Here is a 25,051-nt window from a genome sequence, read left to right on the forward strand (position 1 = left end):
TTAATCTATCTTATGTAAATTTAATTACCGGGCCCAGCAGGGACACTAAGAGGATGGAGGTTAAATTTTGCCATCCCTACAACAGATATTGCCAAATTGCCCTGCATGGAGGTATGGAGGCTGTATCAATTTACTTCCCTCCAGCAATGTATGGGAGCAACTTGTCTTCCCATGACAGTGCATAGAAATTGTGTTCTTCTTTTTCACACCTTCTTGGTCTTCCACAGAATGGCTACACCGTTGTTTATTTAAGCATTCTCCTTATTGATGGACATTTAACTTATTTCCAGTTTTTCAGTTTTACAAACAGAGCTGCACTGAACGTTCTTGTGCAAATTTTCAAACATCTCTTTAGGTATTTTTCCAAAGGGCATGTGTTTCCAAGAACTGAACAGTCTTGTGCAAGTTTGCAAACATCTTTTTAGAAAATGCACAAAAGTGGAAAACTTGTTTCAAAAGTTATGAGCACATTATACTTTGATAGATAATGTCAAATTGCTCCATGAATAGGCTGCAGCAGATCATGTCCCAGACAAAGCATAAAGGGTATCTGTTTCCAAAATTATCAGTTTACTTAATTTTTGCCACTCTGATAGTTAAAAACTTAACTCCTGTTTTAATTTTCATTTCCCTGATACTAGTGATGTCAAGTGTATTTTCATGTATTCATTTCTTGAAAAAGGTAGTCAGTAAGAGCAAAGCTTCTGGAGTAATAGTGTTTGGTTGCAGACTCCAACTGCCACTTGGCGACTTCCGTCAAAACAATTACTGGTGGGCAGGTTACTTAACCTCTCTGTGCCTCAAGGGATGTTATGAAGACTTTATGAGATAACAATTGCAAAGTTCTTAGAAAGGTTTCTGGTTTATATTAAGTGCTCACTAAATGTTACTCTTTTTGTTGATATAATTATTTGTATTTCCTCTTCTGTGAATCACCAATTTGTATCCTTTGATATAAGAATGGTCGGTGTCTTGTTAATTCACATACCCTGTTTTATATTCTGGTTATTAAGCGTTTTTTCTTTTGATTTATCTGTATCGCTAATATTTTCTTCCAGTTTGTTGGTTGGTTGCTTATCTTGTTTTTGTTTTTGGTGTTTTTTAAAAAAAATAATGCAGAAGGTTTAAATTTTTACATAGTTGTATAATTAGTCAATTAAAAATGAATTTTAGGTTTTATGAAGAACTTTACTACTCTAATATTGTAATTATATCCTCCCATAATTCTTTCTAATGTTTTTAATTTCTTTTAAATGCCTAACTCTTTAATGCCTCTTAGCAGGTAAGAATTTTACTTCTTTTATTTTGTTTTAAACAAACGAATAGCAAATTGTTCCATAGTATAGCTACACCAGAATTTATCTGATTTTCATTTAATTTCACTGGAGAAAATTTATATTAGTGTACTCTGTGTCCTCCTATCCGGTTATGTGGTGATTTTGCTCATCTTTAAGTTTCTTTTCTTTATTTAGGTCTTACACGTTTCTTATTAATTTTATTCCTAGGCATTTTATAGTTTCATTACTGCTGTGAAGAGAATCTTTCTTTGGATATTTTTCAACTCGCTATAGTTCATAGCAGAAAGGAACAGACTTTTCTATGCTCTATTTTAATTAAATTTTCTAAGATATGTACATTCTGAGAAAAGTGTAAAAAGTCTCCCATTGTTTACCGATTTGTAATTTTCTTATAATTCTTGTGAATTTTGATTGATATATTTCAAAACTATGTAAAGAACACAAAACTTTCTAAATAGATTTTTTTCCTTTGTCTTGATTAGACATTGGCTATTAACATTGCCACATTTGCTTTCTTTCGCTTAGGATTTGCACACTGTATCTTTTCACATCTGTATTTTTTAACATTTTGTCATTTTCTTTTACATCTAAAACTAGCATGGTTTCGTGCTTTCTTCCTAACTTGAGCACCTTAATAGGTAAATTTAGTGCCTTCAAATTTATTGTGATTTCTAACATATTTGAACTTATCTTGTCATCTTCTCTCTCTCTCCTTCCACGTCTCTCCCTTTCTCCTCCCTCTTTTCTTCCTTCGTCCTTTCTTTCCTTCTTCATTCTTTCTGTCCTTTTCTGGTTCTTCAGAGGGGGTGAGATGTGTGGGAACTTCTTTCTTATTGTGTCTTGGAGAGGATAGAAGTGTTGGTGGAAGCTCATAATTTGTGTCTGAAGGTTTTCCCTACACAGCTTCTATGCTGATCTGCAGAGTTGCACCTTGGAGCTTATATAAAAATAGATATTGGACTCTACATCAAGCCCACTGAATCTGCTGGACAGGATTGATGTGCCCGTGTTCTGAATCCTTTCTTTTGTATATAACCCTATATTTTAAGCTTTCCCAGTGCTATTACATTTTTAATAAGCATTTATTATATAATGTTTAATGCTTGTGTAATTTTTTATTCCACTATTATTCAGTATTAAATTGTTTCCTGCTTTTATGCTATTATAAATAATTCTGATATAAACCTCTAAATGAATTAAAGGTTTTTACATAATTAATAATATTTAATTTCCTAGGAAATCTTAAAAGTGTGATTATTTTATCAATTGAGACTGAATAGTTTGAAGACTATATACAAAAATTATATTAGGCTGGGTGAGGCAGCTCACGCCTGTAATCCCAGCACTTTGGAAGGCTGAGGTGGGTGGACCACGAGGTCAAGAGATTGAGACCATCCTGGCCAACATGTCAAAACCCCATCTCTACTAAAAGTACAAAAATTAGCTGGGTGTGGTTCTGCGTGCCTGTAGTCCCAGCTACTCAGGAGGCTGAGGCAGGAGAATCGCTTGAACCTGGGAGGCAGAGGTTGCAGTGAGCCGAGATTGTGCCACTGCACTCCAGCCTGGCAACAGGGTGAGACTCCGTCTCAAAAAAATATATATTAATATACAATATTACAAGTATTATGTATTTTATATTAATATAATTACTATAAATTAAATATAAATTAAATTTATAAATCATTATATTTGTATAAATATTTACACATTATATATTATTATAAACATATATTATATATATTTTAAATATATATTTATTATATATATTTTAATAGTCTAATGGTTTATTTTATTTTTAAAGGTAAAGTTTCACATTTATTGCAGTATTTATGTGTTTTATAATCATCCAATACATGTAAAAGTGTGCCACCTTTTTACTGGTTTTCTATCTTTATGTCCACTGATGCAGTTTTTTTATTAACTTTTATTTTGGGTTCAAGAGTACATATGTAGGTTTGTTATATAGGTAAACAGGGGTTTGTTGTACAGGTTATTTCATCGCCCAGGTATTAAACCTAGTACCCTACAGTTATTTATTCTGTTCCTCTCCCTCCTCCCACCCTCCACCCTCCACCCTCCACCCTCAAGTAGACCCCAGTGTCCATTGCTCCCTCCTTTGTGTTCATGAGTTCTCATCATTCAGCTCCCACTTATAAGTGAGAACATGCAGTATTTGGTTTTCTGTTCCTGTGTCAGTTTTCTAAGGATGATATCCTCCAGTCCATCCATGTTCCTGCAAAGACATGATCTCATTCTTTTTTTTGGCTGCATAGTATTCCATGGTGTATATATACCACATTTCCTTTATCCAATCTGTCACTGATGAGCATTTAGGTTGATTCCATGTCTTTGCTATTGTGAACAGTGCTGCAATGAACATTCACGTGCATGTGAAAGACTATGTATTACGAGAATGATTTCTACAAGCTATTATACAATAAGATCTAGAACTTTTATGTGTTAATAAAAGGACCATTTTCTCAAAAAGCAAAGGCAGGAACAATAAAAATAGAATATAAATTTAAGAGAATTTAAAACTGAAGATAACTTAAACTATATTTCTCATAATTGCCCACATGGCTTTACTTCAGAGTGATGCTTGATTAATAAAACATAGTCCAGCAAGCAAGAACTAATTCTAAAATACTTTAGAATTACTTAAATACAAATACTGAATTTGTATTTCTTAAGTTCTGGAAGAAGATACACCGCTCAGAGCCACCCCTCTTACTGTTCTCTTTCATTTCTCATCCTCTTCTTTTGCACCTTGTGGTGCTTCTCTTTTCCAACGCTGGAGAACTTTTCCTGCGTCCTTTGTGTTGAATCTCCCTCACCATTTCCTTCTGATTCTGTATTACAAAAGACAGGGTGAGTCTGGCTATGGCAGAGAGATTCTCCGAGCGCAGGGTTGGCAGAAGCCAGGACCCCATGTAAATGGGAAAAGGCAGGAAAAATGCCAGGAACATTCCCACTTAAACAACATGTCCCTTTATACCTGGGAATCTCATCTCTGTGGCTACCTATAATCATCCAATGTATGTAAAAGTATGCCAGCATTTTAATTGGTTTTCTATCTTTATGTGTCACTGATGCAGTTTAAAAAAATTCTTATTTTAGGTTCAGGAGTACACATGAAGGTTTGTTATATAGGTAAATTCGTGTCACAGGGGTTTGCTGTACAGGTTATTTCATCACCCAGGTATTAAACCTAGTTCCCAATAGTTATTTTTTGTGCTTCTCTCCCTCCTCCCACCTTCCACCCTCAAGTAAACCCCAGTGTCTATTGTTTCCTTCTTTATGTCGATGAGTTCTTATCATTTAGCTCCCCACTTATAAGGTTTGTTATATTGCCCAGGGAAGGCAAGATACAAACTCACCTCTTCTCTGTAGTATGATTAACCTTGTTATAAGTTTATAAAATGCAACTCATGGGAAGGAAAGAATAAACAAACTGTTAATTGTTCCTGTTAGCTCAGACACACCTGAGCCTTGTCTGATTGTCCAAAGAGTTTAACACACTAGAGTTACACAGAGAATAATTTGTAATAAAATAATAAACATTGTTGCTATTAAGCATTGATTGGTTGTGTTAATAGTTTATAAAATGTTATAATTTCTCAGGTTACTTTTATTACTATGTATCATTGCACTAGAACCCAGTGTCAATATAATTAGGAGGTCTGGATTCAAATCCTAAATTCTGATTTTAATGAGCTTTGTGACCATCTAATTTTACCTTTCTTGGTCATGTTTCCTTACTTTAAGTCCAAAAATTAGAATCCACCATCTTAAGGTCCCTCTAAAATTTTATTATATTTTATATTCTCAAAGGACCTAGTGGTCCAATTGCCTAACCTGTGCATTGAGGTTAAGTTATCACAAATATTTTAGCAGGAAATCCTACGGACACAGGGTATAGTGAACAAGAGAGTAGAAATTCATCTTCCCTAATCCCATGTTCTCTAGTAAGATGTGCACTTTGCTTTGAGAAAGTTGCTCATCATATTCTTCCAGAAAGTCATGATAAATGCATATCTCAGAGGCTTAGTTCAAAGCTCTTCTCTGGAAGACGTCCTCCTATTAGCTTCCTTTGATATAGCAAATATCACAGTGGATGAGAAAAGGTTTCCCTCTTCTTCCAACCCATGGTACAAATCCATACACAATAGAATGTTGAAACCCAGAACTCTAGAGAAGATACAGAATCTGATAGGATTTAAGTTCCAGGCAAACTTGGGGGTGGGTTTGAAATAAAATGCCTCTGTATGAAACATGGCACCATGATTTCTTTCTAAGGCTGATGTGGCCCAATGGCTACAGATATTAGGTCAACCCAAATGGAATTGAGTAAGTGATCTCTTTATAAAGGTGGTGTATTGAAACATCCTCATATTACATTTATAATTTTATATTTGGATCCTTAAGTGGTTAACTGGGTAGGGGTTGTGGTGATGAGGAATACCATGGAAGGAACTGCAGAAAGTAGTAATGGGGCCAGTATGTGACCCCCAAGGTACATCTCCTCCTTTGGAAGAGACACTTCCAGGTCTTTGGTTAGGGATAGCAAAATGTTAGTTGCAATAAAAGCTGGAACGTGTTTGGTTTGGGGTTTGCCCTGGGCCATTCTGTGATCTCTCTAGAGCAGCCGTAAAGCTAGGAAATAGAGCCAGGTGGTAAGGACCCAGTGAGGTGAGTTCTAAGAGACAGAGAGAAAGAAGCAGAGGTAACCGGGCAAATAGAACAGTCAAGATGAGTCCAGAATGATAAGCCACACCTGCTGTGGTGACAGAAGAATGGGGAAATAAAAAGATCAGCCTGTTGGGTGGGACGCACATATTTTTCAATGAGTCAATAAAATGCTTTTCTTGGAGTGCAGGCTAGATATTATCTAGTTAGTAACTTACTTTTTAAACTTAAGCTGAGCTTCTTAACTCCACCTCTTCATACCTTTTGCTTTATTTATTCACTAGAATTTCCACACTTATATATGATCAGGAATGTGCTATTTACTATTAGAGTCTCTGGTCTCAAAGAATTTGCAATCACATATTAAACCAACCAGAACAAGGAGATTTATATACAAGTCAAGTGCTGCAATATTGTAGGGGAAGGAATTAGTAATAATCCTTAAAGACAGAGAGATATCAAGTAAGGAATACAAAAGAAAGTTAGAATAGCTGCCTTCCAAAAACCCTTCTAGTTCTTAACAGTATATAATTTTGCTTGTTTCTGTCTTTCCTTTTCAAGTCCCATTACCTCGTTTATTTATTAAGCAAACATTTAATATACGGCTTGCCATGTTTCAGGCATTACATATGCCTATTCATTTTATGTTCATAATAACCCTTTGTGGTAGGTGCTGTTACCTTCATTTTATCTGTGAGTAAATGACAGCACAGAGAAGTTAAGTTACTCTTAACAGCTGGTAAGTGGCTGAGCTGAGATTTGAACCAGAGACTATCTCCAGAGTCTGTGGTCTTAACCGTTTTATCATGTTGCATGGTTTTGAATCGAAATATATATTTGTTTACAGAAAAAGGTAAAATTTGAATGATGAACAAACACCTAATTCTTATTAATTTCCTCTTGGATAGAAAAAGAGTTCATTTTCTCTCTTTTTAAAAAAACAAGAGCCAATTTATTCTGAGTAGTTTTGGAACCTATATCATTTTAATTTTTCACTGTTCAGGAAATGAAAACACAGGATGAGATGAGGGAATGATTTAGGTGTCCTTTAGGATTTTTTCCAAAGTGCAAACTATACTTTTGTGGAGCCAAAAGGGGCCATTCTTGTGTACACTTGGGCTAAAGTGACTCTTAGATCCACTGTTCTCTAGGATATTCCAGTCTTTCCCTCACCAAACAACTACTGATGGGATGACATTTATGCATTCATACTATGCTAGTTGAGAGATGGGTATACGTGGGAATGTAGGCTTGGTACCTGCTATTAATGAGCTTATAATTTAATTGGGGAGACAACACACACACACACACACACACACACACACACACACACACACATACTTAATTAACCTTCACAATCACAATATAATTCAAGAACCGAAAGCTCCAGTGGGCAAACATTATGGCTGGGCTGTTTGGCTAGAAGAGTAGAAGGCATATTGAACATATACAGTTCTGCAGATTCTCTTGGCTGATCTGTCTCTAGAACCTTAACCTCTTCCACCCATTTGCTCTGCCTTAGCTGCTGCTGCTGCGCCTCATGACACAACCTCATGACAGGTCCATGAGTGTCTAGCACCTGAGACAGACCAGTTTCTTGCCTGGAGTCTCCGGCTTCTTCCACCACTTTGAGATTTGTATATTGTATCACACAGGCTACGCATGAGCTGTGGCTTCCGAAGCAGCTTCCCAAAGAGTCCAGAGAATACAATCTAGAAGTGTGGGAAAGTTGACTTTTGACAGAGAAAAACAGGAGCTAGAAAAATTTGGGCAGATAAGTATTGTCATCCCTTGGTATCCATGGGGGATTTGTTCCTGGACCTCCCTTGGATACCAAAATCCATGAATGCTCAATGCCCCAGTATAAAATGGCATAATATTAGCATATAACCTGTACACATCTTCCCACATACTTTAAATCTCTCTGGTTGCTTACAGTACTTAATATGATATAAATGCTAAGTAAATAGTTGTCATACTGTGTTGTTTAGAGAATAATGACAAGAAAAAGTGTACATGTTCAGTACAGATGCAATTAAAAAATATTTTTGAGTGGGTGCAGCGCACCAGCATGGCACATGTATACATATGTAACTAACCTGCACAATGTGCACATGTACCCTAAAACTTAAAGTGTAATAAAACAAAAAAAAAAGAAAAAGAAAAAAAGAAAAAAAAATATTTTTGATCTACAGTTGGTTGAATTCACAGATGAAGAACTCAAGGATATGGAGGACCAACCACACTCTTTCCCTTCCTTCCTCTAATAGACTAATGTGAGACACAGCTTCTCTGATCAGTCTGTCTAGAGACATGCTGGGTAGCTGAGCAGGTGACCTCCAAGGGAGTGGCTGAGACTCTTCCAGCTCATTGTGAAGAAGAGGCCATTGTTATGCATTATCTCACATTGCTTGATGTCTTTCTCTGTCTCATTGTCCTTCTCCTCCACTCTTGTTGTCCCAGGATTGTACTTCCCCAAATAAAGGAATACCCTGTAATCTTTGCTCCAGTTTCCGTTTTCTAGAGGTCTTGGAATAAGGAGGAAGAAAGGACAGTCTATGCAGAGTGTAGAATATAGAAAGGAATGATCTGGGCTGAAAACATTTATGTTGGAGGTAGCCAGCGTCAAGTTTTGGAGGGCCATACTGAGGGCCATGTAGATTCTTTGAAGGCCTTTGAGCAGAGGAGTGACATGATGGAAAGTGGGATTTAGGAAGGTAGATCAGGTGGGAATAGAAAATTGGAGTGCTATGAAGTTGGGAGAACTGCAGGCAGAAAGACTAGTAGGATGAGTATAGGGCCAAGCTAGAGAAATGAAATGGCAGATGGAGAATCTTAACATGGCTTTAACTACCTTGGTGAACTAGGAATCAAGGTAATTCACTAGAGGTGAGTAAGAGGAAGATAAAGTTGAGGGGTGGATGGGGAGGAGAACTTCAGTGTACTCTCCTGAGGTCAGGTGGCATCATATTGTTTCTTGCTGGGCCTGGCTGTGTCTAGGTCTTCTGCTCTCCATCAGTACGAAATCTAGGGCAACTGCAGAATTTCTCGTTTCATGATTAGTTTGTGTATTATATGCAAATTGCCAAAAGACTGATCAGATATTTACATGGTCTATTCAATTTGGATTTTGTTAACTAAATGCTGTGAATTTTTTTAATTAATTTTTTTTTTGAGACAGAGTCTCGCTCTGTTGCCCAGGCTGGAGTGCAGTGGCACAACCTCGGTTCACTGCAAACTCCGCCTCTTGGGTTCAAGCAATTCTCTTGCCTCAGCCTCCCAAGTAGCTGGGATTACAAGCATGTGCCACCACGCCTGGCTAATTTTTGTATTTTTAGTAGGAACGAGGTTTCTCACCATGTTGGTCAGGCTGGTCTTGGACTCCTGACCTCAAGTGATCTGCTCACCTCAGCTTCCCAAAGTGCTGGGATTACAGGAGTGAGCCACAGCAAATTAAAATTAAAATTAATTTGTTAATTTTTGTTAATTAAAACTACTATCACAGAAACTGTTATTTACAGCACTTTTAATGAACAAACAGATAAGCCCTGTGGTTACATAGCAATTGACTTTTCTTCTGGCTGTGAAGCCAGAGTAACCACAGAAGAGTCATTTAGTCATGACTTTTGTCTAGATTTTGCTGTTCATGAGAAGGCAGAAGTGGGCTGAACAAGCCATATATTCATTCTGGACTTGAAATGCAGAAGTGTGTGCTCAGTTAGTTTAATTAAAAAATTTCTCAGTTAACATTTAAAAATATTTTTGAATATTTTAAAAATTTTAAGTACTTTATACACTGGCCAGTTATTGAATGCTTGAATGTTTGTTGAAGTTCCCTGTGTTCAAGACTGTTTGCTTCCCTAGAGGAGAAAATAATTAATGTTCTAAAACACAGCATGAACATATTTTATATGTTGAGATAGATAGGCAGCAATAAACTATAAACTAGATGAGATAGTATATCTACACAGCCTCTGAGTTGAGAAAAATTAAAGAATCCTTAAGTTAAACACACACACATGTGCACGCACACACACACACACACATACCCAGAAACACAGAAATGGGTCCCATAAGGAAAAAGGTAATTTATTGTACATGATGCTGTAGTTTCTAGAGACTTAGAGTGTTGTCTGGCTAGCGACTAAAGTAAGAGTCTGGTTTTGACTCCTAGTTGAGCACAGGTGCCAAGGTGGGTCATTTTTCAAAGGGTGGTGTTCTCATAGTGGTACCCTTTTTGTCTCTAGTGTTGAAGTGGTGATGTTGATGCTTCTGAGGAGATAGTATTTTCTCCCAGCCCCGACAACTGCGCTTGCAGAGATCAAGCCTGACCCAGAGATAGTGTCTCACAGCTTTTTGGCTGTATTCATTGGTAAAGAGTCAGTTGCTTGTCATCAGTAATAACAAGTTTCAGTTTCATCACAGGAAAATGTGAGCCAGGAAGGGCATTTAGAAATCAACCAAAGTTGGCTGGGTGTGGTCGCTCATGCCTGTAATCCCAGTGCTTTGGGAGGCCAAGGTGGGATGATTGCCTGAGCTTAGGAGTTTGAGACCATACTGGGTAACATAGTGAGACTGACTACAAAAAAAAAAAAAAAAAAAAAAGGTGAGAGAGAGAAATCAACCAAAGGCCTGTGGGAGACTGACCATTGTCATAGGTGGAAGGCTAAACAGGGTTGTGGGAGTTTCAGAAATGGGGGAGCATTGTAGTTTGAAGTGATGGAGGAGGGCCAAACAGAAAAATAAAAAATCACCTCAGCAGGGAAGCGTGAAGTACAATAAACATATGGATGAAAACAGAACAAGACATGAAAACTTATTTAGTTTTTAAATTTCTGCACACAGGAGAAAGTACGTGCTATGAGTTGGCTCCTTTCACCATACCAAGATGCCTATGCTAGAAGCTTTGAGTGCTGCTTAAAATATTGCTACAAGGTCATGCAGCCTCTGAAGGAGCTTCTTAAGCTGGCCCTAAGTATTATGTTACTATCTTTCTATGCTTTCTTTTTTCCCTGGAGAATAGGTTTAGTTTATGATCCCAACTCCTACTTCTCTGTAGATAATGCTTGCCTCTATTTCTCCAGCCCCCAATTTTCACCTGCGTTCAAACACTATTTTTAGCTGCCTTCTTAGATGCCTTCATTATTATGAACTCATTCAGAAATCATTGTGTCCAAGCCTGAATTTATCTTCCTTTAAAACCTCCCTAAGTTTCTCCCAGTTTTATCTGTGTAATACTGAAATAGTTTAAGTCCCTAAAAACATTCATTACCTCATCCTATACAATTTCCTTGAAATAGTTCTTTACTTACTTTGTTTTATCTTCCTTCCCCTTTTTACTGTCACCTTTAAAACCTCACATTCTCAAGTAATAACCTCTTACCTTATCTTCCTACTGCTAGATAGAGACTCTCCAAACATTATTTCTACTATGAAACCATTTATTGCTTTCCATAGCCTAAAGGGGAGACCATGGATCCTGAGTGGCCTACAGAGAGGTAGGCTCGATAAGAAGGAGATGGAGCGTGTTATAAAGGCGTCTGTCACCACACACATATGGATTTCTCAAGTTTCATATTGAGCTGGCTCAGTGCTCCATCAAAGTTGGAGGCAATGATTGAAGTCAGAGACCTGGTGCAAATTTAGAGACTTGGTGCAACCCAGTCAGAGACCTGGGTTAAGCAGCCTGGTACAAATTTCGGATAAATACGTGGTCTCTGTTGTACTTATCACACATGAAATGGGAAGGTGAGGAGTAAAAATGGGATTATGCCACTGCAGGGTGGATTTGAATTAGACAAAGGAGAGACAGCTGAAGAGATACAGGGCTGTGAGAACATGTATAAGTTAGTTTTTCCATTCCTTAAACCCACACTAAGGCCTTTCCTGACAGGCATTTCTCCCTTCCTTGATTTATTTTTCTCCATACCAGTTATTCCTACCTGACACATTCTATATTTTTCTTTTGTTTTGTCTCCCCCCAAGTAGAATGAAAGCTCCATCAAGGCAGGAATTTTGTCTGTTTTGTTCACTGCTGTCTCCCCAGTTCCCAGAACCATAACTGGCACAAGGCATATGCTCAATATTTATGTAAATATTTATAAATATTTGTTGAACAAATGAATGGATACACTCTCTAGCATGACATCTTATTTATTTATTGGTAAGTCTGATCACTTCTACCCTCAAACATGTTAAATTTATTTCTTTTCTAAAGAATTCCTTGTAGAATTTTCTACTTTCTCCTCAGCTATCCAAATTCCATCCTATTTTGGGTTCTGGTCAGGCTGCATTATTACTGGGAAGCTTTACCTGATGGAAAGCGGGAAACCTGAAAACATCCCAGGGCACAGTAATCACAAGTCTCTCAGCATCCTGGAGACTCTTGCTTTTTGTATCATTTGTCTTTGGAATTATCACATCCTCAGAGGCTGGTGTGCATTGCTTTTCACTGCCTTCTTCTGATGCTAATCACACCTTTTCTGAACTTGATCTTCTCTTACTTTCAGTGTTATACTCCCACAGGTGTTGGCTTTAGGCATGTGCATTTTTGCTCATTCATGCATTATTTAATTATTTAATACACACTCCTCTAAACACTGTGGGAGACAGAAATAAATTAGGCCCAATACAAGCCCTTAAGGAAATCATAGTCTAGTTTGATCCAGAGTATTAACTAATTAAGTTTTAAACTCCTTGAAGGTGGAGGCATTTAAAAATATATTTGTGTGTGTGTGTGTGTGTGTTTGTGTGTGTTTCCACCATGCCTCCAATAATGCTAGGTACTTAGAGAGCTCAATAAATGTACCAAATGATGGAAGAACCTTAGAATTAGCTGGAATTTAGACTATTCTAATCTAACCACCCCACTGTATGGGTGAAGATATAAAAGGAGTGGTTTGTTTATTACTTGCCTGCCAGATAGCTAACCAAATAACTATGGGAGGGTCTGGGTTGAGAGAAACCAGGGTCCTAAACTACCAGGTCAAATACATTATTGCTAAATCTCTATACCATTGTCAGAAACATGCTACAGAAAACCAGGCTGGTTTATGTAAAAATAATTGTGTTAGTACTGATTAAAATTCTAAAGGGCTAGTATTAATAAAATGAAATATCTTGGGTAAAAGTGCTTAATATTCCTTGGATGCTCTGTTTCTTTAGAATTAGAGAGTACAATGGGAGTAAATGCATCAAAACAATGTAAAATTCTTTGTGATCACCAGGGTGTGACCCTGCCTCTGGTAACGTACACAGCAGTTACTTCTGGAACCATTGCTTGAGATATCTAGAAACACTCTGGTGGCCCTACCTTGGCTATTCCTGGCTATGACTCTCTGCTCCAATCTCCTGCCTTATCCTCTTTACTTCTAATTAGTTAGTAGACATCCTTGGGAAGTAAGAAACTAGAGCTTCAGGGGACCCAGCTTCCTGGCTCCTCCTGTGCCGTCTTTAGAATACTGTGGCAGAAACCCCAATGATCTTGGAAATTTGGGTTTGCATATTTAATCTCTCTTCTGGATCTATGATCTTCATTCTCAGCAAGGATCAGCCCTCGCTCACTCTATGTATTTTTTCAAATTCCTGGTGGTGTGCCAGTTGGTACATGAAGAAGGGAAGGTTTGGTGACAGAGAGGGTGATACGGTTTGGCTATGTCCCCATACAAAATCTCATCTGGAATTATAATCCCCATAATCCCCACATGTCAAGGGTGGGATCAGGTGGAGGTAATTGGATCATGGGGGTGGTTTCCCCTGTGCTGTTCTTGTGACAGTGAGTGAGTCTCACAAGATCTGATGGTTTTATAAGTGTCTGGCATTTCCCCTGCTTGCACTCAGTGTATTCTCCAGCCATGTGAAGAAGGATGTGTTTGCTCCCCCTTCAGCCATGATTGTAAGTTTCCTGAGGTCTCCCCAGCCCTGCAGAACTATGAGGCAATTAAACCTCTTTCTTTTATAAATTACCCATTCTTGGGCAGTTCTTTATAGCAGTGTGAGAAAGGACTAATACAGAGGGCTTCTTCTGAAGTAGACTTTAAGAGAAGAGTTTAGAAGTAGATTTCCCCATTATTAAAAACTGACTAATTTTGAGCGGTAGGTAAGTTACAGTACCTCTTTGACTGCATTTATTTCTGAGAATCTTGTGTGTAGAAAATCAATGAAAGACAAAATATATCTGTAAATATAAGTTCATAAAGTAAGGCTGGGAGCTGTATGTTTGCCATTCAAGAGTGGGATTAAAAAACTATTAGCTGACCATAGAGACCTAGGAGTAGCAGGTGAAAGAGAATTTTGAGGGAGGCACTAGCAACCCAGAGGAATGTGGTCATTTTTTTTTTTTTTTTTTTTTTTTTTTACATTTTCCCTATGGTTATCACATACTGTGTGGCATGTAAAGACTGAGTTCTGCACAGAGATGGAGCATTTCCCAGAGCTGTTAGGGAGATGAATTGCATTTATCTAGGAGAGGCTGTTACTTTTCCTCAATTTATTCAGTGATTAGAAAATAGCTTGTGGTTTTTGTCTTCAGAGACGCATAGTTGTTTTCCATGAACAATAACCCACTGGCCAGATTTGGTCTAATGTTCTGAGAGGCTCTGGCTGTGGCAGAGACAGAAAAACTCTACCACCCACAGGCATAGGAGGCTGCACCAGATTTGAAGGATAGAAGTCAGGAACAATTAAAGGGCATGCAGGCACTGGAGTGAAATGCTGATTTGGAAGCATGATTTACATGTGGGTGTTCCCAGCCTGGCATGTGGATAGGCGTCCTAAGGCTAAGTTTATCCTTTCATTTTTGAAGTACACTGAGTGCTAGTCTCTGTGGATAGTTCCTTTGCAGAAGAGAACATGGCAGCAGTTGGGCTGGTGGCTTGCTCATAGCCACAGAGGCCAACCCATAATCCTGGGTATGTTAGTGATGGTGGTGAGATGAGGGGAGAGGCAAGTGCTTTGTACATTGAGTACCTCACCTTCCAGCATGGGATCCATAGCAGCTTTTGAACATTGGTCCCTTTAGAATCAAACACTGGCAATGTAACTTTAATCATAGGGCTATTTACTTTTTTTCCGCTACAATCTTGCAAATTTTCAAAAAGATTATGTGAAACTGCAGTTAACAATCTGTAAATTGTGTCTCTTCAGACTAAATTGTTCTTTGCTGTTGATGAAAGGCTGTAAAAGCATTCTGGTTTTTAGTCCTTAGATGAGTTAAAACTGATGGTGACTCTAGCTAAACTGAAACAAACTGTCTTTATCTCATCTGACCTTTTTTAGGAGATGTTTATGTATCTTTCTTACATTATTAGAGTACATAGTTTAGTTGGAGGACAGGACAGGGGCATTCTTGTTGCATGTTGTTGATTGAGAAAGAAGCAAGCAAGTGGCCTTATCCTTATGATGCTTGGTGAAGCAATTAGCATTGTGGAATCAATGTTATAAAAACCGGCTCCGCATAACCTATTGCAGGCATCTAAAAATCTAGATTAGGTCTAACCCAGACACAGTTTCAAGTAAGGAGGGGGGTCATATAATATGATATTGTCACTCATCCCTATCATTTCTTATTACTGTTATAAACAGGAAGATTTCGAATCTAAAAGTAAGACTTACTTGTTTGAACCTGGGATTCTGGCCCAAACTATACCCACCACATTTCCACAGAGAAGGTTCAAGTCCCTGGATGCCTATGCCAAATGGATTCCCCCATTCTCCCAAGAATGCAAATGATGACAAATTGACCAAAGCTTCTGGACTTTCCTCTCTAAAACAGGGTCAATACCTGAGTTAAGACAGAGAATTTCAAGTCTGTGAATCTCAGCTTTGGTTCTGCTTCTTCTCTGCAGTTGAGAGAATTTATGAAGCCAAAAAAAGTACGATGCCACCCCATACAGAATCAGAGCTGTATTTATTTTGCCCTTTGGTATTCCATTCAACATTGAGATTTGTATTTCTCCAAATCAGGGTGGGAAAAGATTTTCTAAGGCACAGTGGGAGAGGTGCTGATTGGTAAAGAGTTTGCGGAGGTGAAAGTAGAAAGATTGACTTGTGAGCTGTCTCCAAGAGGAATGAATGCAAAACATTTGATTTCCCTGTTTGTTTTTTGTTGCAGATACCTTGACTATGAATAATAGTTTCAATAAGGAAGACAGAATGAGTTCTGACACGATGGTTGGGAGCTGTGACAGGCAGACGAAAAATGGAGCCAAATGGCATGGAGGTGTGTCATCACTGCTGGATTTTACCTTGATCTACATTCAGTTATCTACTTCTTTTCAAAATGCTGGGCATTCATTCAAGAAACAGCATATATGTTCTGACTTTGAAGTAATGGATGAACTGTCATGTGCAGTATATGGAAATAAGTTTTATTACCTTCTTCCCACATTAACTCATCCATCCATTCAATAGCCATTTATTGAGAAGCTCACTCTGTGTTAGGCACAGTGGTAAGTACTATAGGTTATCAATCACGTATTTCCTAGAAATTATATAGTAATGAACAACGTGCTTTTATTTTTAAATTGGCTTTGGTTTTATGACACATGATAAAGCCTTCAAACAAGGAATCGCTGCATGAATAGAAAAGGTGAAGATAATTGTGATTAATTAATGAGCTTTATAGCTTTTTAGATCCATATTTCAGTGGACCTAAAAAGGAGCTGCCTTATTCACTATTTGAAATATTGTCTTGTTATTGCAAGCCAGTTAAGAGTAAGATAAGACATTGATTGACTCTAGAGATGCTCTAGTTGTTGCTTAGAAGTAAAGGTAAATAGTCTTCTGTGTGCCTACCCTTCTGCATAACCAGCAGCAATTACAGCAACTAAAACTTTCTATTTTTCAGCATGGATTTTGTGCCTATCATTATTTGCTATGTGATGCTACCATAATACCTGCGTAAGCTCACAGCCATGAATGTAGGAGGTGTAATAGGAAAATGAGACTGTGGATCAAAAAAATATTGAAACAGGATAGAAAGTCACTGATGAAAGCATAGAATTACATATTATTGGGCAGGATGGTGGAGGAGGAGAAACAAAACTGTGACCACCAGTGAAAGAAATTATGAATAAATTGCCTTTCTGATGGTTACAATGAAAGGAATGTAGGTGATGAGGGCCTCCAGTGGAAAGGAAGCATGGTAAGCAAAAATCAGTAGGTGACCCATGCCCTTCTAGTATCTGGGAAGGGAAAAGATCAAAACCTATGCAACTGAAGCCAGAGTCACTGTTAGTGGAGAGGAAAGTTAGTGTGCAGCTGAGGGGCTCGAGGGAGGTTTTCCTGGCCACTTCCAAGGTCTAGTATATGGAGTGCCAGAGGGTGTTCTATGGAAAGAATGGGACAGCTACCCAGTGAAGAATGTGGCTGAGTGTGGGAGAGGACCGAATATATAATTTGCAGCAATGTCTCGGGAAAGCTGAGAGGACCCAGATCTTGTGTGTCTGTCAGAGAAAGGAAGAATGAGTCACTAGTTTTAGCACTAAGGTTACCCAGGAAATTTTAACATCTACTTGTAAACCGTCACTTAATGTTTGACTTATGTGATAATTTGGAATTTTATTTAAACATCTTAATAAAACTTTGTTAATAAACTTCCTAGTAGGAGGATTTCTCCCATATTTTGAATGTTTCTCAATGCTGGGAAATGAAAATTTCCAACTGGCAGTATTTCATAATACTGTTTACCTGGGAAAATTAGTATAACAAATAGAGTGATTTAAGTTTTATTCTGGAATTACACATCCCCCTTCTCCCTGGAAATGTCCCCTTAATTGTTTACAGCTGCTCAAAACTCAGTTTCATAGAAGGTTGAGCAGCAGCATATCCTAGATAAGAACAATGTGTCATGGAGCAATCTAACGTGAGCTCTAACATGATCTCTCAAACCTTGAAGAATCAAAGAAAGAACCTTAGTTTGGAATAAACAGTCAATTCTCAAGTAAAGCTTATAGGCATTTGAAAAACACTCTGGTGCTATTTCTTCAGAGGTGCACATTAATAAATGTCTTGGGCCCTCTTTTGACTGCAGGTGTCATGATGTTGGAACAGTAACAATAACTCAACCAACCAGGGCTTGTCTGAATACAATCCTACAGCAGCAGGAGCTGTGGAGATATAGAAGGCAAGGAAGACCAGGTTGTGAGGGAAGACGAATTTACTCCCAGGAATGTTGGGATTGAGAGTAATATTCTCCAATAATGGTGGAAGACAGAACAATAAAAGCCCACCAGCTCCTTCTGCATGGTGGGATAAGAGAAAAGCCAAGGGCAGAAGTGAGAAAAATAACCATCACCAAACTGAAAAGAAAACCTTTATAAAAAAACTGGATTGATAAATGACCTTTAGTAGTGGAAAGATACCATTCCAATGAAGCATGAATTGAAAGGATTTCTTCTGAAAGCTAATTTACATTTTTCTTTTTTTTTTTTTCATTTTCAGTGTGTTTTAGCAGGTGTATTGTTCTACATGGTTAGTTTCTTTACCTCTTTGAGAAAAATGGGTCAGCTTGACACATCTGGATGAAAGAATCCGTTAGGTGATTATGATTGAAGACAGATTAAGCCTTGTTATGAGGGGAATATTTGGGGGCTTACCCTGAGGTGATATTTGATGATTTAGCTGTGGGAGAATTTCCCTCCCAAGATCAGCGTGACTGACACTGAAATTGCTACAGGGGAACCGGACCTTTCCAAGAGGTGACAAGGACATTTACCTGGTACAACACAATGGTTCTGGACTGGAAGTCTAGTCCCATTGATGAAGTTCCCAAAAGATGTCCAGGTCCTAATCCCTGGAATCTGTGAATATGTCATCTTACACATCAAAAGAACTTTGAAAATGTGATTGAGGTTAAGGACCTTGGAATGAGGAGATTACCTTGGATTATCTGGTTGGGTCCAAGCTAATCACATGAGTCCTTAAAGGAGAAGAACCTTTTTTAGCTGGGTCAGAGAGAGATGTGATGATGAAAACAGGCTCAGGGAGATGCACTGTAAGAAGGGCTTGACCAGTTGTTTTTGACTTTGAAGATGGAGGGAAGGGCCAGGAGCCAAGGAAGGTGGGTGGCTTTTGGAAGGTGGAAAAAGCAAGGGAACATTCTCTCCAGAGCCTCCAGAAAGGAGCTCAGCCCTGTTGACATCTTTGTTTTTATTTTTTATTTTTAGTAGCATTGAGGTCTCACTATGTTGCACAGGCTGGTCTTGAACTCTTGAGCTCAAGCACTCCTCCCGCCTTGGCTTCCCAAAGTGCTGGGATTATAGGCATGTGCCACCACATCTGGCTTCCTACTGACATCTTAACTTTAGTGCAGTGAGACTCATATTTGAATTTCTGACCTTATATTATAGAACCATAAGACATTATAGAATTATATAGAATTATAGAACCATAAGACAATAACTTTGTGTTGTTTTAAGATACTAAATTTTTGGTAATTTGTTATGGCAGCACAATAAAACCAATATAGCATTATATTATGCCAATATCATCTCTTTGTTGACTATTGCTATTATAGTTTGTTTTATGGGTCTTGTGTAAACAATCAAGCTATAATATTGGGTTAACTCCCTAAGGAAAACTTGGAATATAGAACATTATTTTAAAGACTGAATTAGGTAAATACACCTGCCAGTGAATACATTAACAAATTAATTAATATATTCACTCTTTTCACTCACAAATACTTTTTGAGCCCCTATTACTAGCCAAACATTTTGTTAGATTCTGAGAAGGGTCTGCTAGACAACATTGTGACTATAGTTAATAACAATATATTGTACTCTTGAAAATTACTAAGAGAGTAGATTTTAAGTGTTCTCACCACAAAAAATAAGTATGTGAGGTAATGCAGATGTTAGTTAGCTTGATTTAGCCATTCCCCAGTGTATACATATTTCAAACCTTCATATTATACATGGATAAATATATACAATTTTTATTTGTCAATTAAAAGCCCCTCGATGAATACAGTTTCCATTCTGTCCTTGAGGTGGAGCTTGTAGACTTGGTGGGGTCCGGGGATCAACTTTTAAACAGGCAGTTCCAAAGTGTGGAGTGGATAGGCTTATTCTCTTTGTTGCTTTTATGATAGGTATTTAGAATGCACTTTCCTCTGTTAAGTTAAGCCAGCCACCATTCCCTCATTCAGTTTCCATCCTCCATGAATTTGCTCACATCTGCGGTCTACTGTCACTCATTCTTTCCTTCTCTTCCTGAGGGCTTGTGTGACTTATGTTCTTGGCTTTCTCTTAGGAACATGGTGCAGCTTGGCCCTGCATTATCCATCTGGAAAAACAGATCATAAAACAGTCCTTCTCTGTACTAAGTGCTAAAGTAGGAGGAAGGGCATAAGTCAGCTCCCTGAGCTATATATCCTTGTTTTCAGGAGCTGAGCTAGACACAAGCAGAACTTGCAAATAATTTACATTTCTTTCTGCTGAGGTGGTTCAGAATAAGTTGCAACAAACATGAACAGGAATGGTGCAGTAAATAAAATAATAATTTAGGTCATTTAAAAATTACTACCCATTATTTTCTAGATTGTAAATCCTAAGGGTGTTAGCTGATTAAATTGGCGAAGGCACATCTCACCAAGTCATCAGCTTCCTAATTATGAGAGATACATCTACTCAGGCAGGTACCTAGACAAAGAATAACTAGATTAATTACTCAAGAGTCTTTTTATTTCTTCCTGCCTTCACTTGTTAACTATACTAATAGAGAGATGGTATTAGGCATAGGGAAAAATACATCTGTTACCAAGAAAAAATGTCTGGGAGTCTTAAACCTGTGGAATCCTCTGCCTGTAAACATCTAGTTGAATATTTTTGTCTGGAGGGTTGGCCTTTAATTTTTTTCCCTGTGTTTTAAGATGATATACTTTACAAAATGTGGTCCTGATTTATAGATCCAGCAGTGTTTAAATTGGCCAGAAAGAGAGTGTGAGAAATGGATGTACTATAGCTCATTTGTTTTCTGTTGGTCTTCCTTTTTCATTGCTGTCATGGTACATCACAGAGGCAAGTCTGGTTTCTTTGGCTAACCTCTGAATAAAGGGCACTGTGGCTACTGCAGGGGAGCATGCAGAAGTGGTGAATGAATGACAGAAAAAATGCGAGTTGAGTCCATTCAGGGAGGTGATTTGTGGCCATATGATAAAATGTGCAGATGTTAATTGCGCTTCTGTTTCTCACGCATGATTACCTTGTTGCTGTACACTGCCTGTGTGTGCCTGCAGAAAGTACATAATAGATTTTGCAGATAGGAGGTACAAAGAGGGTGTAGTGTGAGAACAAAGGCACTGGGAGTGGGCAAGTGACAGATCAGAGGAAGACTAGGTGGCAAGACTGGGCAGAGAAAAAGTACAATATTCAGGCTAGGAGGGCAGGCAACTACAGCTTGAGAATATCACAAAGCCCCTAAGGCAAGACTATGAACTTGATATGGGGTTTCCCAGTATTCCACCTTGCACATGAATAAATCATTTCATCTATTCTGAAGTCTCAAGTATCTAACCAGAAATTTCATTTGAAATGGAAAAGTCAGAAATCGTCCCCACCCTCTAACTGATTTGTTCATGGCAGTTTCTATACTGAAGCAACATGTCAAGCCTGGCATAGATTGCATGGGTTGCCTAAGGAGAGTGAATGCCCAGGATCCATCTCTGGGCCACTCAAAATGTAATCATATCGAGACAATGAGGAGCCTATAAAGAGTATCTAATAAAAGAAAACACAGTGGAACCAGGGAAAAATCTGGAAAGAGTGGTCTCATGAAAGCCAAAAGAGGAGAGTTTCAAAGAGTGAATTGTGGACTAATTGGGAAATGGAATAACATGTATAGAGAAATGTGTCTATTGGATTTGGAAACATGCAACAGTTTCATGTGCATGATTTGGAAGGAAGCCAGATTAGAGTGGGTTTGTCCATTAACTGATTCATGATGTTCACACATATTTCTTTGAGTACCGAACATGCATCAGATATTACTTCGGTTGTTGGGGGAATCATTGGTGCAAAAGCAAGCATGATTCTTTACGGGATCATGGTAGCTTATGTGGGAAGACAATTTTCCAATCACATTACTTCTAGGTTCCTGGCCATCTAGCCAAACCATAGGTCACAGCCCTTGAACTGGTATATAATCAACTATTTGGCTATTTCTCCTTCCAAGCAATGAACAGTCAGGTGCACTGCTCAGATTTCTGCCCCCTGGGAAAATTTCCTTTCACTACTTTCCTCCAGGAATGTTCCAAAGAGGGCCTGTTGTACTGTAGCCATCCACTTTCGAGTAGTGCCTGCATGTCATGTAGAACCATCTGCAAACCAGGCCCAAGTCTTCTGGTCTTCTGTCAGTTGATCATAGGGAACTCCCCATGAGGCCCTAGGTGCAGTCTGGGAGAGAGAAGTTAGCATAGCAGAAGTGGGAGCCACGGGCATTTGGGTCACTTCTTTATGTAATTTACTTATGCCTTCAGGGTCTTCTTGGGCTCCATCACTTATATTACTTCCATTTGATGATGGAGTACTGCTGTGCACACCCAACTTTATGGCTTGGTAGGCGAGATAATATCTAGTTTGTAATGGGGAGCTCAGATTGCATGGTAAGTTGGTGGCTCATAAGCATCCTGTCTCCACCAAGGCCCAGTAGCAGGCTAGGAGCTGTTTCTCAAAAGAGGAGTAGTCATCCACAGGGGATGGGCAGGTCTTTGCTCCAAAATCCTAAGGGCTTGTGCTGCAGGTGCTTGCAAAAGGCTTTAAACAGCATTCCTATCTGTCACTGACACTTCAAGCACAATTTGATCTGCTGGATCTTATGGTTAAAGTGCCAGAGCAGCTTGCATGGCAGCCTGGACCTGTTGTAGAGCTTTCTCTTGTTCTGAGCCCTTTTCAAACTGGCTGCTTTTTTGGGTCACTCAGCAAATGAGCCAGAGTAACACAGTCAAAAGAAAAATATGTTGCCTTCGAATTCAAAGAGGCTCACTAGTTGTTTTGTCACCTTTCCGGTCATACAAGGGTCCAGTTGCAACAACATACCCTTCACCTTAGAAGGGCTATCTCAACTTGCCACACACCACTGGAACCCTAGAAACTTCACTGAGGTAGATACCTGAATTTTTCTTGGATTTATTTCCCTCCCTCTGACACTCAAATGTCTTACCAAGATATCTAGAGTTGTAGCTACTTCTTGGTCGCTAGACCCCATTAGCATAAAGTCATCAATGTGTTTGGTCAGTGAAATAAAAGGGAAGGGAAGAGTGGAAGAGAAGAGTGATTAAGAATCTTGCAAACAGCTGGGCATGGTCATTCATGCCTGTAATCACAGCATTTTGGGAGGCCAAGGCGGGCTGATCACTTGAGGCCAGGAGTTCAAGATCAGCCTGGCCAATACAGTGAAAACCTGCCTCTACTAAAAATACAGGAAATTAGCTGGGTGTGGTGGTGCACATCTGTAATCCCAGCTACTTGGGAGGCTGAGGCACAACAATTGCTTGAACCTGGGAAGTGGAGGTTGCAGTGAGCCAAGGTTGCACCACTGTACTCCAGCCTGGGTGACAGGGTGAGACTCTGGTCTGAAAAGGAAAAAAAAAAAAAGATTCCTGCAAATGAAATTATGATATAGGGAAGAAGAGTTGATATATCCGTGAGGTGGGACAGTGAAGATGTACTGCAGGCTCTGCCAGCTGAAAGCATACTGCTTCTGGTGGTCTTTACTAATGGGTATCAAGAAATACCAGGAAAATACAAGGTGTCAGGGGATGTGTTGGTGTGTTCAAGTTATGAAACCACACCTGGTATAGCAGCTGTAGTTAGAGTCACTGTACTAATCTCACAATGATCTGTCATTCATCTGTCTTTTACAAAGGCCAAATAGGTGAGTTGAATGAGGATATGGTGGGAATCACCACCCCTGAATCTTTCAAGTCCTTAATGGTGGACTGATCTCTGCAATCCCTCCAGGAATGTGGTATTGCTTTTGGTTACTATTTTCTTAGATAGAGGCAGTTTTAGTTGCTTCCATCTGTCCCTTTCTACTGTAGTAGCCCTTACACCATAGGTCAATGAACCAATGTGGGGAGGCTGTCACCTGATGAGTATATCTACTCCAATTATACATTCTGGAACTGGGAAAATAACTACAGGATAGGTTCAGGGGCATACCAGGCCACTGTGATATAGACATGAGTTAAAACTCCATTGATTAGCAGACCGCCATAAGCCCCTTCTCTGACTGATGAAACACAGTGATGTTTGAAGTGTCCTGGAATTAGTGTCAGTTCAGAGCCAGTGTCCAGTAGTCCCTGAAAGGTCTGATTTCCCCCTCCCCTCAGTACATACTTACCTTTGTAAAAGACTATAGATCTCTTTGGGAGAAAGATTAACAGTCTAAATATTTGGCAGTGTGCTATGTCCTTCCTCAAGGGGAACCAGCTTCCCCTTTATTCAAGGGGGCCTTGATCTGTAAATTGGCTCATCAGAAGGTTAATTGAGGGCCTGTGCCTCCTTTGTTTTTTTGATTCACTTTAGAATTCGGTTCACTTGACCTAGATCTTTTCTGCTTACATAGATGAAGTAAGAATTTAGTAGGCTTCTTATCTCTTTAGCTTGTAGGAACACCATGATCATTTAGTCAATCACACAGGATGATTACTGCTTTGACTCTGCTCTTCATCATGGTGACCACACTCACCTTGCCTTTGGTGGTTACTGAGGGCTGCCGCTTGGCTTCTGCCACCCTGGGATCCAATTACTACTGTTGTATTTAGATTTCCCAATTCAGGGGCTGCAGTTCCCATTGCAGGATCTGGTCTACAGAGAAGAGTGATTGTACAGCTCTTCAAATGTTAGAGCTCCTCTCAAAAATGTATTTCTCACAGTTGTGGTGAAAGTTATGTCTTCTGGACCCTGCCAGGGTGGGTGAGTAGACCTTAAATGACAAATTTACTCCAAAATTCCAATCTTTCTGGGCCTTTGAATCCCTTTCTCTACATTAAACCAAGGCAAGTCCAGCATTTCTAACACACTGTGGGCCACCTTTTGGTCCATGTTTTAGCCAACCACACAAAC

The 25,051-nt window shown here is 38.9% G+C and overlaps 1 long non-coding RNA gene across 1 annotated transcript in view, besides 1 other annotated feature; it reads left to right on the forward strand.

Annotated features, from left to right (window-relative positions):
• Positions 1 to 19,461, forward strand: part of RDUR (RIG-I dependent antiviral response regulator RNA) — a 57,068-nt gene extending 37,607 nt beyond the window's left edge. The window contains exons 3-4 of the long non-coding RNA NR_026934.1: positions 16,096 to 16,432; positions 18,016 to 19,461. This is a non-coding gene — a long non-coding RNA (RIG-I dependent antiviral response regulator RNA). The remainder of the gene's footprint in view (positions 1 to 16,095; positions 16,433 to 18,015) is intronic.
• Positions 9,445 to 9,494: an enhancer, noted in NCBI's record as "active region_20187". NCBI's record gives its function as "activates an Ori minimal core promoter by ATAC-STARR-seq in GM12878 lymphoblastoid cells {active_cell/tissue: GM12878}" and the evidence as "EXISTENCE:reporter gene assay evidence [ECO:0000049][PMID:35858748]".
• Positions 19,462 to 25,051: the final 5,590 nt, after the last annotated feature.

This window comes from Homo sapiens, chromosome 3, assembly GCF_000001405.40.
Source record: "Homo sapiens chromosome 3, GRCh38.p14 Primary Assembly".
Classification (NCBI taxonomy): Eukaryota; Metazoa; Chordata; class Mammalia; order Primates; family Hominidae; genus Homo; species Homo sapiens.